This window comes from Homo sapiens, chromosome 1 (genome assembly GCF_000001405.40).
Source record: "Homo sapiens chromosome 1, GRCh38.p14 Primary Assembly".
Lineage (NCBI taxonomy): Eukaryota > Metazoa > Chordata > Mammalia > Primates > Hominidae > Homo > Homo sapiens.
Window position 1 is genome coordinate 195,714,396 of NC_000001.11, and position 17,392 is coordinate 195,731,787.

A 17,392-nucleotide genomic window follows, 5' to 3' on the forward strand; every position below is an offset into this window, starting at 1 on the left:
TAGAATCAACTACGGCATCCCTGGTTATGAAAGAACTAGAGGAAGTTCTATGACAAGTTCATGCTTATTTATGCTTGTTAGATGTGGATAACTATGACTAAGCATTAAAGCTACAAAAGACAGTGTGGTAAAACCAAAAGGTTATTTTATATCCAAGGAGAAATACTTTGTTATACATGGCTTGGACTATTTGGATTTTCTCTGTATCAGGTGAAGCAGACCATTTTTAACATATCCCTGTAGTCTTCTAATATATTCCGGAGCAATTTCTGGATGAAATCACCATTCTTCTGAGTTGCATTTTTACTGTTTCAATTTTCCTAAAATTTGCTCCTTTAAGGTAAATGACTATCTAACAGAACATTAATAACAAAGAATTTCACATGTCATTCTCTTCATTGACTTGCAAATGCAATCATTCATGTTCTCTTTTGAAGGTAAAGGAATACAGTATATCACATTACAGACTGCAATTCTCATTAGGCAGTTGTGTGAAGAGCTAGTTCTGTTTCTAATTCATTTCTTGGAGAATCCCACTGAAAAGTATCATATTTTGTATGAAAGGTTAATCCTATCCCTCAACCAGAAAAGAATAATCTATTTTTCTTGCTGAGGTATAAGTAATAGAATTAAAGACAATTGAAGACTCAATAGCAGAAAAAGGAGAATATCTGAATCCACAAATCAAAGTATGAATAGCCGAATGACTTAAAACAGAAATATGCATGAATTCAAGACAATGGAGAAATAGAATATATCCTGGTTGTAAAGAAAGATTTAGGCATATTAGCTAAATTAAATTAATTAAAAATTAGACTTTTATTTTCCTTAGAGGATTGCCTCTTAGACAGGAAATGTCAAAGGTGGGGTGTGTGTGTGTGTGTGTGTGTGTGTATTCTAATTTGGGGGCATATATTTCATCTTGTTTGATCCTGTAAATAAGTTCAAGCTTGTACCACTTGCTGCATGACTGCCAATAAATATAGAAACAAGGCAGTGAGGCAAGGAAAGTGACTTCAGAGGTCCAGCAAACCAAAAAGATGAACTTCTGTTCCAAAGAACCATCTTCAGTTAGCATGAACTTTAGGCTCATTTTTATTTTAAGGGAAGGGGGAAGAAAGGGGATTGAGGTCAAGAGGTGACTGACAACCTCAGACATCTGGGCATCAGCAAGGGTCCCAGTAGGTTGTGAAACTTCTTTGTGCTTGGTCAGCTGACCTCTGTTCAGATGAAGTAGCTCAAGTCATAATGTTGCCCTAAATCTTCACCAAAATACCATTACTTGTATGTGTACTTCCTTATCTCCTTGTGAGTTAGTTTTGATAAAGGAACCGTTATTTTTTTTTTCTTAAAGTTGAACTACAACCTAAACTTCTCCTATAATTAGCTGATCTACAAGCAAAGCTAAGCAGACACTTTTAACGTAAAGGATATGACCACAGGAGGCAGGGAGTCAGAGGAAAAATGGAGTCAGTCATGCTAAGCTTCCTTCCACTATTACAATCATAACACATTATAAAAATGAAGTGAATATAATGATAAAAAGATTACAATCAAATTGTTAATAACAACTGAAATTTTTAAAAAATTTGGAGAATTGGACCAAAGTATCCTAATTGACTATATGAACCAATAAAAAAATATTTTCATCAGGTAACAGAAAATTAGAAAAAAATAAAAAAGAAGAGGATAAAAAGTCAGATGTCCAGGAAATGCTTGGAAAAGTGATATTACTATTCTATTTTTTTTTGGATTTTTAGATAAAATCCAACACTACTCATCGATCAGTTAAGAACATTAATATCTTTAACAAAATATGCCCAGCTAGAGGAAAATTTAAAACAATACCATCTCAAAGGTCTCTCCAACTTTAGAGCTATTGAGAAAAAGAGAACATCTAATTTGAGAATGAAGACCCCAAAACCCCAAACCAGTTTCAATACAAATTTATCAAATTTTCTACTCTTCTTAGACACTGCAGTAAAAAATGTCTTAGTCTCAAAATCAATTTAAATGAATGAAAATAAAGTATCATTGAAAAAAATGGGGACTTTTTTTTTATTCTGTTTTATGAACTTCAATTGTCATTTGTTCAGGTTGCTCTACACAAAGTTTTTCAAATGTGTTTTTTTAATTTTTGAGAAACACAATATGAGGCTTAGCTGTGATTTTCAGCCCGGAGACATTATGAGTTTTTTTTGCTAGTTCTGAATCATTGTGTTAAAATTATGATTTGTTTTAGTATAGTGCTTCAGGAAATAATAACAACACTTTTAGTATTTCAAATAATACTTTTAAATAAAAAATCTTAGGAAGGTTGAAATTTCTGAAGTTGGCATATAGTGTTCCTCATGCTAATATGCTTCTTGAAAGGTTAGAAACATTTAGAGGTGCCAGTAGTTGTTCAGGGCACAAAGATACCATAAATCTTTCTCAGACACATATATATATGTGTGTGTGTGTGTATGTGTGTGTGTGTGTGTGTGTGTATATATATATATATATAACACATTAATTTTTCAGTATTTTAGGAAAGATTTAAGAGTATAATATATATACTCTTAAAATCTGATAAACTCCAAATGAAATTTATATACTGGTGGGAGCTGAGCTCATTTCTCAGCTCAGCATTTCTCAATGCTTTCTACTGTGCTAAAAGTAGAGAAAATGTTAACGAACAACTAAAGAATAAACAACACTGCCTTATATTAAAGGTACAGATCAGCAAACAGAAATGATGCCTGTTATATAAGGAATTTAGCCTCCAGTCCAGGCAAGGCTTCACAGGGTCACAGGTTGAGACAAGGTTACAAACTTCCAGAATCCCTTTTGTAACATTTGCATGTGCTTAAGGGAATGTGACCTCAGTGGAAATGGCTCACATTAGCCAAATTCATAGGAGACTGACGTGACCAAATGAGAAATCATTAATGTATAAATAAAAATGTAATTCTAAAAGAAAGTGTAACACTTATTTTCCTTGTTTGACACAAATATTCTCTGGAGAAAAATCCTCTTGAAAAGCACAAAGAAACTACAGTTGGGTGATGATAATAATTAGCACTTGTGACCAGAGGAGTCTGCATCTGCTGGGCAAGGCTGCCCTAAGGACCAGGGCTGAAGACACCATACAACATCTTTGCTCTCAAACTTTTACTTTTCTAAAGATACTCCCCTTACTGATCACACAGTCTTTTTATGAACAGGACACATCATAAGAAATTGAGAGAAGGCAAATTAGGTTAATTAACTTCTTACATAAAATCTCAATGGACGGGGGGACAGGATGACTGATTAAAGCAGAACTGAAATGGTCAAAATGGATTGGAGGTCCACTTTTCCACTTCAGAAGCTTTCTCATTCCACCTCCATTCCATTTCATCTCTACAGAACTCTGGAGCTTCGCTAACAAAGACTGAAAAGTTTCTGGATTAAAGAGAAGCAGTATCCTCTAGTGGTCAATGATAGAATCTTATTTGCCCACTGTTTAAAACCGAAATTTCTTTGTTCCTAAAACAGCATATTAGTATCTTATCCCTATACCAGTGTGAATGAGCTAGCTTATCCTTTAGTAAAAACAATTCTCAAATCTCATTGACATAAAATATAAGGTGCTTGTTTCCCACTCTGTCATGTTTTTCACAATTATCCTGCATGTTTTTTTTTTCTTACTCCAGACTCAACCAATCTCTGGACATTGCTGGAAACTGCAAAGAGGAAAAAAAGAACTTATATAGACCCTAGAAACTTCTACCCAGAAGTGACACAACTTAATTCTGCTCACATCTTACTGACCAAAGTCACAAGGCCGAGGCTGACCTCATGGTGCAGGCTCATGTAATACTGATCTGGAAAACAATATTAATGTGATCCAACACACAACTAAACAACACATTTCCTACAAACCTGAGAAGTGCTTAAGGAAACTGTATCGCTATCATTTTTCAATGTAGCTCAGAAATATTATGGTCCCATATATTCTGTTAATTCTTAAATCTATGGTAAAGGTGGAGTTGGTGCTGGTGGAGGAGGGGGTATGTGGTTTGTGATCATTTTGGAACATTTGCCAGCAGCAGAATTTTGTTTATCTTTCAGTGTGGATTCCTCAAGGTAGGAATAGAATGGGCACAGTTCCAGCAGTGTTAGAAGACATGGCAGCACTTTCTGTATATTTCATTGTTTTCTTGAGTTTTAGTTTGTGTTCCTGTTTTCCTTAAATATCAAATATGTTTATTTTCTTACTGGTCCTGGAATATAAACCGCATAATTTAACGAGAGGAGCATCTTAAATGTGATTGAAAGCCTCACTCTCCTGGGCAGGCTGGCAAGCATTACGTTCAGATGTCTGTCATTAAAATGGCATCTTTGGTTTTTCCATCATCATTGTTAATCACTAGTAATGAGAATTAACTACTGGAAATAGATAATGCCTCATGAACCTGTCAAAGTCTGGAAAAAGATACTGAAAAAGATGCTATATACTGCAATGGTTTTTAAATATATATATATCTAAATAAAAAAATGCTTGCTTATCTATCCAGATACCTTCAATAGTTTTTCAAAAAATAGTTTTCACCTGGATTGGTATTTTAAAAATGTGACCCACAGAGGCATGCCCCTTTATGAGCTGTGCAACCTCAGAGAAGAAAGAGCCAAGAAATGTGTTCCCAAGTGCGAGGGCCTCTCCTCTGCTTTCAACAAAGGAACTACACTAGTTTTTATCTGTATAATTTTATTTAGATTGCTTAGGTTTTCATTTAAGGAAAGGCATCATGGCTAAAAACAACAGCAAATCAAAACAAAAACAAATTTAAAAAATAATTGAATGCCACTAATCTATATGATGTAAAGAACTTTCAAAGAGGCACTATAGCATAGTGATTAAGACTGTTCTGAAACTAGAATGCTTCGGATAATGTTCTATAGCTAGAATGCTATATAAGCAGGCCTGATAGAAGTGTTGGTCTGATTATTGATTTTACAATTAGCCATTGATTTATTTAGAGAAAAGATAAACAAAGCTTGTTTTAAAGTGTATATTTTAAAAATTAAAAACATAGCAAAAATGTTGTTTGTTAAAATATTCATTATTTGGGGGAAAGTTTGAAAACAAAATGAATTCCCAAGTTAAGAGAAAGTCTCAATCTTTAACAATTAACAAGTTAGCATAAATTACTAATTGACATTACCAAGTACAGGTAATTTTCATGTAAAAAGAAAGTAGAAACAGCTTTAAGAGGTCAATGTATCAACTTCTCGTGATTCAGAACTCCAAAAGTTTGTTGTTTAGGATGTTTTCATATTTTTCATGTATATTTGTTTTACACTATCAAAACCTTTGTGGTAATTACCTTAATAAATTTTTTAAAAAATTATTGTTTTATATGACCAATTTATATTTCTTATTTAAAAAAAGTTTGTAATTATTCCTATTCCTTCAGAGAATAGAGCTTCTGAAATTTGTTTTTACTTTTATGTCAGGCCTCTGAGCCCAAGCTAGGCCATCATATCCCCTGTGACCTGCACGCATACATCCACATGGCCTGAAGCAACTGAAGATCCACAAAAGAAGTGAAAATAGCCTTAACTGATGACATTCCACCATTGTGATTTGTTCCTGCCCCACCCTAACTGATCAACGTACTATATAATCTCCCCCACCCTTAAGAAGATTCTTTGTAATTCTCCCCACCCTTGAGGATGTACTTTGTGAGATATACCCCCTGCCCGCAAAACATTGCTCCTAACTCCACCGCCTATCCCAAAACCTATAAGAACTAATGATAATCCCATCACTTTTTACTGACTCGCATTTTGGACTCAGCCTGCCTGCACCCAGGTGAAATAAACAGCCTTGTTGCTCACACAAAGCCTGTTTGGTGGTCTCTTCACAGGGACGTGTGAGACACTTTAAATTCAAGATAACTTCTATTTCAAAGTCTCAAGAAGTATTTAATAGAAAATTCTATCTCCCTTTCAGTTTAAAAAAATTATGAAAGATGTGCTCAAAATCAACTCCAGTACAATCTGTAAAGATTCAATATATCTGACAGAAATAGTAACCACATCCTGAATTTGAGAACATACACCTACATTTTTAGTTTCTGCTTAGTATATAAAAAGCTGAGAAGACCATTACTTCTACTCTATTACCAAGGGTGGGGGTGGGGGGTTGAAACAAATATACAATCTACTGTAAAATTTAAAAAGCAGACAGTCATTGACAGACTATCTCCATACTTTTAGTTCCTACGTAACAAACTGTAACACAACTTATTATGAAAACAAACCAAGGCCTGGAGCAGTGGCTCCTGTGTATAATCCCAACATTTTTGAAGGTGGAGGCAGGTGGATTCCGTGAGCCCAGGAGTTTGACATCAGCCTGGGCAAAACAATGAAACCACATCTCTACAAATATACAAAAATTAACCGGGTATAGTGGTGCATGCCTGTAGTCCCAGCTACTGGGGAGGCTGAGGTGGGAGCCTGGGAGTTCAGGGGTGCAGGGAGCTGTAATTGTGCCAGGGCACTCCAGCCTGGGCAACAGATTGAGACCTTGTCAAAAAAAAAAAAACAAGGAAAGGAAAGGAAAAAGGAGAGGAGGAGGGAAGGAAGAAGAAAGGCAAGGCAAGGAAAAGAAGAAGAAAGGCAAGGCAAGGAAAAGAAGAAGAAAGGCAAGGCAAGGAAAAAAAGAAGAAAGGCAAGGCAAGGAAAAGAAGAAGAAAGGCAAGGCAAGGAAAAGAAGAAAGGCAAGGCAAGGAAAAGAAGAAAGGCAAGTCAAGGAAAAGAAGAAGAAAGGCAAGGCAAGGAAAAGAAGAAGAAAGGCAAGGCAAGGAAAAAAAGAAGAAAGGCAAGGAAAGGAAGAAGAAAGGAAAGGAAAGGAAGAAGGAAGGCAGGCAGGCAAAACCATGCTTATTAGTATAGTCTTGTAACAAACAGCTGGTTTTCAGCCAGACACAAACAGCTGAACTTCAGGCAATCACAGGTAGCCAAGGATCAGACTATGCCCAAATAAAGCAAATGCCTCATCACACCATACCCAGATAAGGCAGATACCTAATTGTAGCCAATCAGACAATTTCCCTTTTTTGTTTTGTTGGGGAAACCAGCCCCACACCGCCGGGCGGGTACCCCAAGTCCAGCAGAGACAAAGGAATTAGAAAGAGACAGAATAAGAGTTTAAAAGGCAGGTCCAGGGGACCGGAGCAGAGGCTTGCTCACGGCCCAGAGCTCTCAGCCTCCACCCAATTTATTGGTTTACAAGCTCTTTGTTCTCAGGGCAAATGGGAGAGGTAAGAAGGGATGAGGAAAAGAATTAATCAGTAAAGGAGAACTTGTGAGTCATTCAATAAAATGTATAGCAGTGGCGGTTTCTGTCAATTTCCTCGAGCAAAGGCGTGTGTCTAAACTACTTAAGCTCTTACCAGGACCGAAACAGGTGGGAGCGGGTTTCAGCAGGAGCCAAGTTGTTTGATTATACTCCAGTACTTCAAGGGAGTGTTATCTCCCCACGCACCCGTGGCATGCCCCGAGCTGTTATGCTCTCGGGGCATCAAGACATGAAGGCAATAAGGATGTGTCTGGAATTGGTGGGTTCTTGGTCTCACTGACTTCAAGAATGAAGCCGCAGACCCTCGTGGTGAGTGTTACAGTTCTTAAAGGTGGCGTGTCCGGAGTTTGTTCCTTCTGATGTTCGGATGTGTTCGCTCTTCTGGTGGGTTCGTGGTCTTGCTGGCTCAGGAGTGAAGCTGCAGACCTTCGCAGTGAGTGTTACAGCTCTTAAGGTGGCACGTCTGGAGTTGTTCTCTCCTCCCAGTGGGTTCGTGGTCTCGCTGGCTTCAAGAGTGAAGCTACAGACCTTCACGGTGAGTGTCACAGCTCATAAAAGCAGTGTGGACCCAAAGAGTGAGCAGCAGCAAGATTTACTGCAAAGAGCAAAAGAACAAAGCTTCCACAGTGTAACAGGGTTCCCAAGCAGGTTGCCACCGCAAGCTCAGGCAGCCTGCTTTTATTCTCTTATCTGGTCCTACCCACATCCTGCTGATTGGTAGAGCCCAGTGGTCTGTTTTGACAGGGTGCTGATTGGTTCCTTTACAATCCCTGAGCTAGACACAAAGGTTCTCCACCTCCCCACCAGATTAGCTAGATACAGAATGTCAATTGGTGCATTCACAAACCCTGAGCTACACACAGGGTGCTGATTGGTGTGTTTACAAACCTTGGGCTAGATACAGAGTGCCGATTGGTGCATTTACAATCCTTGACCTAGCCATAAAGGTTCTCCAAGGCCCCACCAGAGTAGCTAGATACAGAGTGTGGATTGGTGTATTCACAAACCCTGAGCTAGACACAGGGTGCTGATTGGTGTGTTTACAAACCTTGAGCTAGTACAGAACCTTAGCTAGACATAAAGGTTCTCCACCTACCCAGCAGACTCAGGAGCCCAGCTGGCTTCACCCAGTGGATCCAGCACGGGGGCTGCAGGTGGAGCTGCCTGCCAGTCCCGTGTCGTGTGCCCACACTTCTTAGCCCTTGGGTGGTCGATGGGACTGGGTGCCGTGGAGCAGGGGGTGGTGCTCGTTGGGGAGGCTCGGGCCGCACAGGAGCCCGTGGAGCAGGGGGAGGTTCAGGCATGGCAGGCTGCAGGTCCCGAGCCCTGCCCCGTGGGCAGGCAGCTAAGGCCCGGCGAGAAATTGAGCACAGCAGCTGCTGGCCCAGGTGCTAAGTGCCTCACTGCCCAGGGCCGGTGGGGCTGGCCGGCCGCTCCGAGTGCGGGGGCCGCTCCGAGTGCGGGGTCCACCGAGCCCACGCCCACCCGGAACTCGCACTGGCAGACAAGCACCGCGCGCAGCCCCGGTTCCCGCCCGCGCCTCTCCCTCCACACCTCCTCGCAAGCTGAGGGAGCCGGCTCCGGCCTTGGCTAGCTCAGAAAGGGGCTCCCACAGTGCAGCGGCGGGCTGAAGGGCTCCTCAAGTGCCGCCAAAGTGGGAGCCCAGGCAGAGGAGGCGACCAGAGTGAGCGAGGGCTGTGAGGACTGCCAGCACGCTGTCACCTCTCAAGGAGACTTTTCTCCTCAGAGGCCGCCCATGGCTCCCCATGGGTGTCTCACACAGGGGAGACCAACTTATCTGGCATCCCAGAAACTCTTTCCCACATGTTTCTTTTCTTGGCCTATAACAGCTTACTGCTCATGCTGCTGGGTGGAGCTCTCCTAAGCTCCTCTGGTTCTGAATGCTTTTCAATTCATGAATCATTCTTGGTTCAAGCAAACTGTCAAATTTGTCTAAAGGCTTTCTTTTTACACTACAAAGATCATGTATTTACTTGAGCTTATTAGAGACCTAAGGTCACAAGGCAACCAATTAGTTTGAAATCTAAGGAAAGACAAAGACTTAAAGGAGAGACAGACAAAGACTTAAAGGAGAGACAGACAAGAGCTTCCCTGGAGCAGACTGTAAGATGAAAAGAAGTCCGGCTTAAAAGAGGGTCTGGTGATTTTAGCCACACTTTTAAGAACTTTCTAAAGGTCAGGTGACAAATTACTAGACTAGAGTGAGAAATTAGAAACCCTGAAACTCGTGAGGGGAATTTGACCTCACAAAGAATTTCTTCTTCATTGGCCTCAACAGGGGTTCATGAGAGATATTGAGATCAGGGTAGGATACCAGAGAAGTTTCCTAGAGTGTTGCAGGCGTGTTGGAGGGAAGTAGCTGCTGCTACAGAAGAGGCACATACCTCTATTCCGTCCTTTCCCCTGTGGAATGGAAGCCTTTGTTACAGTAGAAAGAGCAGCAAAATCAATATACTTCAAGGCGAATAGTAACCACAAGAAACCATCTTAAGCCCAGAGTGACAAACATCCTTGACCACTGAGATAGGATCTTGTGAAAGAGCTGGAAAATTCTTGTGACACAAGGCTGGTTATAGATTCTAGAGAATTGTCTATCTTGGGAAGAAAGACAAAGATCACTGAGAAAACCAAATCTAGACAAAAGGTATGCCTAAGAATGAGACTGAACCAATAAAATGAAAACGCCATAGAACTAAAAAGTTGGTATATATTATTCCAAGTATATGGATAATTACAAGAAGAATATATAATCTAAATATTACAGTTAAATACAGAGATTGACATTAAAACTTTGAAAAGCACAACCAACTGTATATTGTCTCTAAGACATCTACTTTAAATGTAGCAACTCAGAAAATTATAGTTGTAGACTTTAACATTCCTTTCTCGGTAACCAGGAGAATCAATAAAATCAGCAGGGATTTAAAATATTCAACCAAAACTATCAACCAATTTGATATAGTTTATATTTATGCAACACTATACCCAACAATGAAAGAATATGTACTATTTTCAAGTGGGCATGGAACATTAATTAAGATAAGTTGAATCCTGGATCATGGTTAAGTAATTGAAATAATACAGGCCACGCATGGTGGCTGGCTGGATGCGGTGGCTCACACCTGTAATACCAGCACTTTGGGAGGCCGAGGAGGGCGGATCACCTGAGGTCAGGAGTTTGAGACCAGCCAGACCAACATGGCGAAACTCCATCTCTACTAAAAATACAAAACCTAGCCAGGCGTGGTGGCACATGCCTGTAATCCTAGCTTCTGGGGAGGCTGAGGCAGGAGAATTGGTTGAACCCAGGAGGCAGATGTTGCAGTGAGCCGAGATTGCGCCACTGCACTCCAGCCTGGGCAATAGAGCAAGACTCTGTCTCAAAAAAAAAAAAAAAAGAAAGAAAAGAAAAAAGAAATAATAGAAATAATATAACGTATGTTTTCTGATCACAGCATAGTTAAACTGGAAATCGATGAGAGAACAAAAAGATATCTCTAAACTACCCAAATACTTGGAAAGGAAATATCACCATTCTAATTAACCTGCAAGTCAAAAAGAAACAGTGGATATTAGAAAATATTTTAAACAAACTGTTAATGAAAGGACAACATATAAACGCTGTGTGATGCAAACTGACCGGTAAAGAAAAATTTATTAGAAAATAAAAATATTGCATAACAATGAAAAAGCTTCCATTTAAATGATAGAGATAAAAACAGGAGAAAATTAAACAACACAAAAATAAATAATAAGTGCATGTAGAAATGAATACAGTTAATTTTTTTTAAATAATGGAAATCAATAACACCAATAGGGGGTTGGTTGGAAAGAACAATACACTATAATTGCTAAATCAAGCCACTTAGAGCAAAATAAAGATGAAAAACACAAATTACCAATAAGTGAAAGAGGGGATATTATAACACATGCTATAAACATTAAAATGATAGCACTATATTAGGCTTATGTAATCCTATATTTTTTAATAAGTTGAATTCATAATTTTAAAAATTCCAACAACCACAAAAATTCCAAATCAAGGAGTCTTCAATAGAGATTTCTTCCTGTCATGTGTAGAAGAAGTAATACCAATTGTATGCAAATTTTCCAAAAAATTAAAGACTAGGGAAAAGTTTTCATTCATTTTATGAGGTCTGCAGTACTCTGACACAAAAACAAGACAAAAATAAGAAAACTAGAGGCTGTTATTACCAATAAAAATAAAAATAAAGAAAATCTCCAGCAAAATATTAGCAAATGAAATCCAGCAATATATTAAAATAAAAACATATCATGACCAAGTAAGTTTTATCTGGCATACGTAAGACTGGTTTAACACTTGAAAGTTAGTATATTCACTGTATTAACAGATTAAACTAGAAAAATGATGTAATTCTCTTGCTAGAGAGAGAAAATACATTCGTTAAAATTCAACATTCATTCATGATAAAAATGATTACTAAACTAGGACTAGAAGGAAAGTCCTTTACCCATGCTGAAAAAATTTGTACATAGATCAATGAAATAGTCTGCATTATTATTTTATTTTTATTAAGCTATTACATTTTTAAACATATTTTATACACATGTTCTTTACCAAGTATGTGATTTGTTATTTTTTATTTCTTTATGTATTTTTTGCCTGTGGCTTTCAGCAATTTTTCTGGAAGACAGGAGAAATGCTATCGTTTTTGCCTTTCACAATTGGTAGAATTCTCTGATCTTTAGATTTAGCCTGATATATCTTTTTCTGTCTTTTTATTTTTAACCTATTTTATCTTTAGCTTTAAATAGGTGTCTCATAAGCAGCGTACAAATAGGTCATAGTTTTTTATGCAGTCTGACAGTTTGACTTTTTTTCTTGAGACAGAGTCTCACTCTGTCATCCAGGTTGGAGTGGTACAGTGGCACAATCTCAGCTGACTGCAACCTCTGCCTCCCGGGTTCAAGTGATTTTTCTGCCTCAGCCTCTGGAGTAGCTGGAATTTCGGGTGCCTGCCATCATGACGAGCTAACTTTTGTATCTTTAGTAGAGACAGGGTTTCACCATGTTGGCCAAACTGTTCTCCAACTCCTGACCTCAGGGGATCCTCCTGTCTTGGCCTCCTAAAGTGCTGGGATTACAGGGGTGAGCCACCCTGCCTGGCCACAGTCCGACTTTTAATTGGGGTATTTAGACTACTTACAATTAATGTAATCATTAATGTGATAATTACCTTGTTAATTGTTTTGTACTTGGAAGTTCCATCTGTCATTTGCTTTTTTTCTCCAATTTTCTTCCTTCTTATGCACTAATTAAATGTTTTCATTGATCCTACTTTGTGCTGTTTGTTGGCTTATTAGCTATAAATCTTTATTTTATTATTTTAGTGGCATGTTATAGTGTGTAGTGTACATTTTTAACTTATCAAATTATCACAGCCTATGTTAATGTGATATACCACTTCATATATAGTATGTAATCCTTGCAACAATGTAATTTCATTTCTCCTTTCCTGGCTTACATGATATTGTTTTTATGTATTTGACTTTTATATTTGACATGTTACAAGCCTCGCAATACATTGTTATTATTTTTGCTTAAACAGTCACAATCTTTAACACAAATTTAAATAATAACAAAAAATATTATTTATATTTACACATATATTTATAATTTTTAGTGCCCTTTTTCTGTGAGGGTCTAATTTACTATATGGTTATCATTTTACTGCTACCGGAAGCATTTCTTTAATTTTCTGATGATTTTTTTCGGATACTTTTTTATGTATTCTAAATGTTTTATTTTGTCTTTGTATTTTGAAGATATTTTCACTAGTTAAATAATTCTCATTTGGCAGTTATTTTCATTTCAGTACTTTGAAGGCATTGCTTTACTGTCATATAGCTTGTACTGTTTTGACATGAAATCTTCATTTTCTTTATATTTGATCCTCTATCCATAGTTGTATTTTTCTCTGATTCCTTTAAGTATTTTTTCCCTTTTATGGATTTTATGTAATTTGCTTATGATATGCCTTTTATAGTTAACTTTGTTTTTCTTACTATTTGGGTTCATTGAGGTTTTAGGCCCTATGGGTTTATGGTTATCGTTTTGGAAAATCTTTGAAGATTAGGTCTCCAAATTATTTTCTCTCTACTTTTGTCTCCTTTAGCAATTCCAGATACTTATATAAAAAGATGTTGGTGGGTAGCCTACGGATCTTGATGTTGCTGTCTTTTTTTTTAATCTTTATTTCTCTTCAAGTAGTTTCTATTGCTACTGTTTCAAGTTTCCTAAGCTTTTCTTCTGTAAAGTCTCATCTGTCATTAATCCCATCCAGCATGTTTTTCATCTAGAATTTCTTCTCACATGAACCCTTATTTAACCTCAAACCTTTCTCCAAGTTTCACCTTCCTTTCAATAACCAAATCCACCTCCAAACCGACCTTTTTATCCAGTGACAACTCATATAATATTATTTTTTGAATTGTTTAATTCCTCTTTGCTCCAACCTCTCCTTTCCTAAGTGGGGCATAGAGCTCAAATTACTTAATCATAAAGTGGATTTACTTGTCTTGTTCCTCAACCAAAATAGCCACTGTTCCTAACGTTATCTATGCTTATGCCTCTTTCCTAGAACTCTCATTGTGGTAGACTTGAGGGGGATCATTTGAGAGAAATAATATATTATTTTTGCTTGCATTGATCTATTTATATAAATCTAACTAGTCATATCATAAAAAACTTGGTTCTCAAACTAAAGACAGGAAAATCTGTGTGTAAAACCAAAATGTAGTAAATCCTTATCTTATGTGAAAAGAGTAAAAAGACACAATTTCATTTATAAAAAATGGTTAATCAGAGAAATGCAGATTAAATTATACTTTTTAATGTCCATAGTGTCTTTAATTTTAAGATAGCTGATCAATAACCATTCCTAATTCTTTCTCAATTTGTGTAAAACTGTTCTTACAAAAATAAGATTAAGTATAAGTTTATAATAAATTTGGAAATCATAAATATTACACAAGAGTTAGTTTTTTTCTCACTAAATTCTGCTAGGACAAAAGTATGGGGTTCAGGTGAAAACACACCTACTAGGATAGCTCATTAGGTATCCATAACTTAGAGGCCCAAGAAACAAAATGTGAACAAAAGTCATTTATATGTGAATCTCAAGTAAAACCCCCAAAATCCAATAAGCAGAAATTAGTTAAGGAGTAAGTAAAGGAAATTTGGCTCTAATATACATATTTGAATTTTTAAATATTATTTAACATAATTTTATTGTAAAGTTGTATATATTCATTTTCTTTTTCTTTTATTTTTATTAAATGTGGAATCTTAAGTTTTCATCATATAATTATCTCCTCTCAAATTTCTCCCAGTTTGTTTCCATTCTGGTGAATTACTAAAATTTGATAGCAGCCTCTTCTATTAATGCCATTTTATCACACACTGGTTGCCCAAAATTCTAAAAGCACAGCCAGATTGTGTAATTAAGGAATCAAAAGAAAGAAGAGAGAATCATGTCTGAAAAGCACTTATTAACATTAATTCAATACCATAATATTGTAGATTATTAAAGAAGCTTTGAAGAATTTAAGACAGTTGCCTTGGCTCACAGCATGTTACTATCTAGTTAGCAATACAACATAATTTTCCTAACTGCAAGTCCAGTTTTTTTATATTACTCACTACTGCCCTCTTAAAAGGATATCAGGATATCTAAAAAGAACTGTAAAATAGTATTTTTATAACATTAAGAAATGTATTTTTAATTGATAGATAACAGTTGTGTATATGTATAGGGAAGAATAGTATTTTGACACAGGGAATATTGCATAATATAAGCATTCTGGAGAGCAAATTTTTGTATGGTTTTATGCTTGCATTCATCAGTCTGGATTTCACTTGTCTTTAATTACTTCACTTAATTAGCTCAAACCATTGGTATATCCAAAATAACAAAGTTTATGTGATGTTTAATTACCTTCTCTTACAATTTGCATGAGAAAAGTACCTGAGTGTAAAATAATTTTGTTATGTCTATGATGTATATGTGGTGCTACCCTCCACCGGAAATTGATGAATGAGGGTAGTTTATAAACAAAAGTAAAATGAGCCATAAAAGATGATGGAAGTTTTTGGAAGTCATTTTTGGAAGAAGTTTTTGGAAGTTATTTTTGGAAGAAGTTTTTGGAAGTCATTTTTGGAAGTTTTAGAAGTTATTTTATGCACCTAATGATGAGAGAAAAAAACTCAGAAATGTCTACAAAAACTCTTCAAGACCATTTATAGCTTTTAAAGAGAGGTAGTTGAAATGTGGAATCTTTTTAAAAGAAATATAGACTGGGCCCGGTGGCTAACATCTGTAATCCCAGTACTTTGGGAGGCAGAGGTAGGTGGATCGCTTGAGTCCGGGAGTTCGAGACCCAGCCTAGGCAGCATGACAAAACCCCGTCTCTGCAACAAATACATAAATTAGCCAGGTGTGGTGGCACATGCCTGTAGTCCCAGCTACTTGGAAGGCTGAGACAGGAGGATCCTTTGAGCCTAGGAGATGAAGGTAACAGAGAGCCAAGATTGCACTATTGCACTCCAGCCTGGGTGACAGACCAAGTACCCTGTCTCAAAAAAATTTGTTTTAATTAAATAAAAGGTGTTGGTATTTTTATACTATGGTTTCTATCCTGATGCTGAGTAGGTTCTTATATTTTCTTTGTGTTAGCTTTACTAATACTACTTCCTATACTGTTCTAACCAATTACTTAAGTACAATGGTATTTGAGGAATTTCATCGAAGTTTTGTTAAGATCTATAAAAGATCTCTTTTTAAGACTATAAACATACTTATATATTTTATTATAAAATGCATACTCTAAGTTCTTTGAACTTGCTGCTCTTGAAAGTTCTAGAAGTGGGGAATATTTTATAATAGAATCAATTACTAGGAAACAGAAAGCATTTGTTTCTCATACTAGGTCTCAACATATGTTTCATCCGTTTCTGCAGGAGCAAAAATTAGTTTACAAATTCAAGTTTACATGACATTTTACAATTTAGAATATTGCTTAAACATAGCTGATGCTGCCTTATATACACCTATAATAGTAGTGAATTGTATTTCTATTTCTAAAATACCTAATTTAAATAAAATATTGTCTTTGATTATTATTTTCTTTGTATTACTATAATACATGCAAAATATGTATATTCGAACCAAAGTGGCACATTAAATGACAGTTTGTTATTTCTTCTGTGATTTTTATTTTATATCACACTTGCCATTATATAAAACGGCATTATATAAAAAGAAATATTTTCTAGACATAAAAAGTTGAATTTCTGATTATTAATCTAAAAATAATTACTGAGACATTATAGTTGGTGCCTAGGACACAACAATGAAAACAACAGACTTGGTCCCTGCCTAGACATAGTTTACAACCTCTGTTCCCTGACTATGAATGATAAAAGACAGATTTTTTTTCCTCTAGCATTTCTTTATAACCACAAAGAACAGATTTTATTCCATAGGTTGTCTCCTCTCCTTCAACTTTGAAACCTGTTGCAGAGCTTTTGATAGTTAACTATTATAGGAGTAGGAACTAACTTTATTAAAAAACATGTTTTAATATGCTTCACATACTTTTTCCAAACTCTTAATAACGTATGTTACATATGTATAGATACACAAGAACAATTACTATTTTACTGTCAAAAGTACTGTTTTGAAAATTCAAAGCTCTTCTGATACACCAAAGATGTTAGACAACATTTCGTGTTTTCTTTTATTCTTCATTTGTCTTAAATTCTTGCCTAGATTTCATTTATGTTGTAAATTTTGCCATGTCATCTTATTTTTGTTTAAATCCAATCTTTCAATATTTATTCTGTTTAGATTTACCAAATGCTAGACATTAAGCAAGAAAAAGGTGAATGTTATAGAGTACATTCCTTTTAGAAACTCTTAATCAAGATTAGAAGAAAGGCATATATAAAGAATGTTTCATATATTCTGTATGATATAATTGTGTGAAGTAGCTGGGCAT

General features: G+C 36.4%; 1 long non-coding RNA gene across 1 annotated transcript in view, besides 1 other annotated feature; it reads right to left on the bottom strand.

The window, feature by feature from the left end:
- The window catches only part of LOC105371671 (uncharacterized), a 147,500-nt gene extending 139,996 nt beyond the window's left edge, over positions 1 to 7,504 (bottom strand). The window contains exon 1 of the long non-coding RNA XR_922391.1: positions 7,425 to 7,504. This is a non-coding gene — a long non-coding RNA (uncharacterized LOC105371671). The remainder of the gene's footprint in view (positions 1 to 7,424) is intronic.
- Positions 6,120 to 6,649: an enhancer, noted in NCBI's record as "H3K27ac-H3K4me1 hESC enhancer chr1:195689645-195690174 (GRCh37/hg19 assembly coordinates)". NCBI's record gives its function as "activates a minimal SCP1, AML or CMV promoter by ChIP-STARR-seq in primed H9 embryonic stem cells {active_cell/tissue: H9 hESC(primed)}" and the evidence as "EXISTENCE:reporter gene assay evidence [ECO:0000049][PMID:30033119]".
- Positions 7,505 to 17,392: the final 9,888 nt, after the last annotated feature.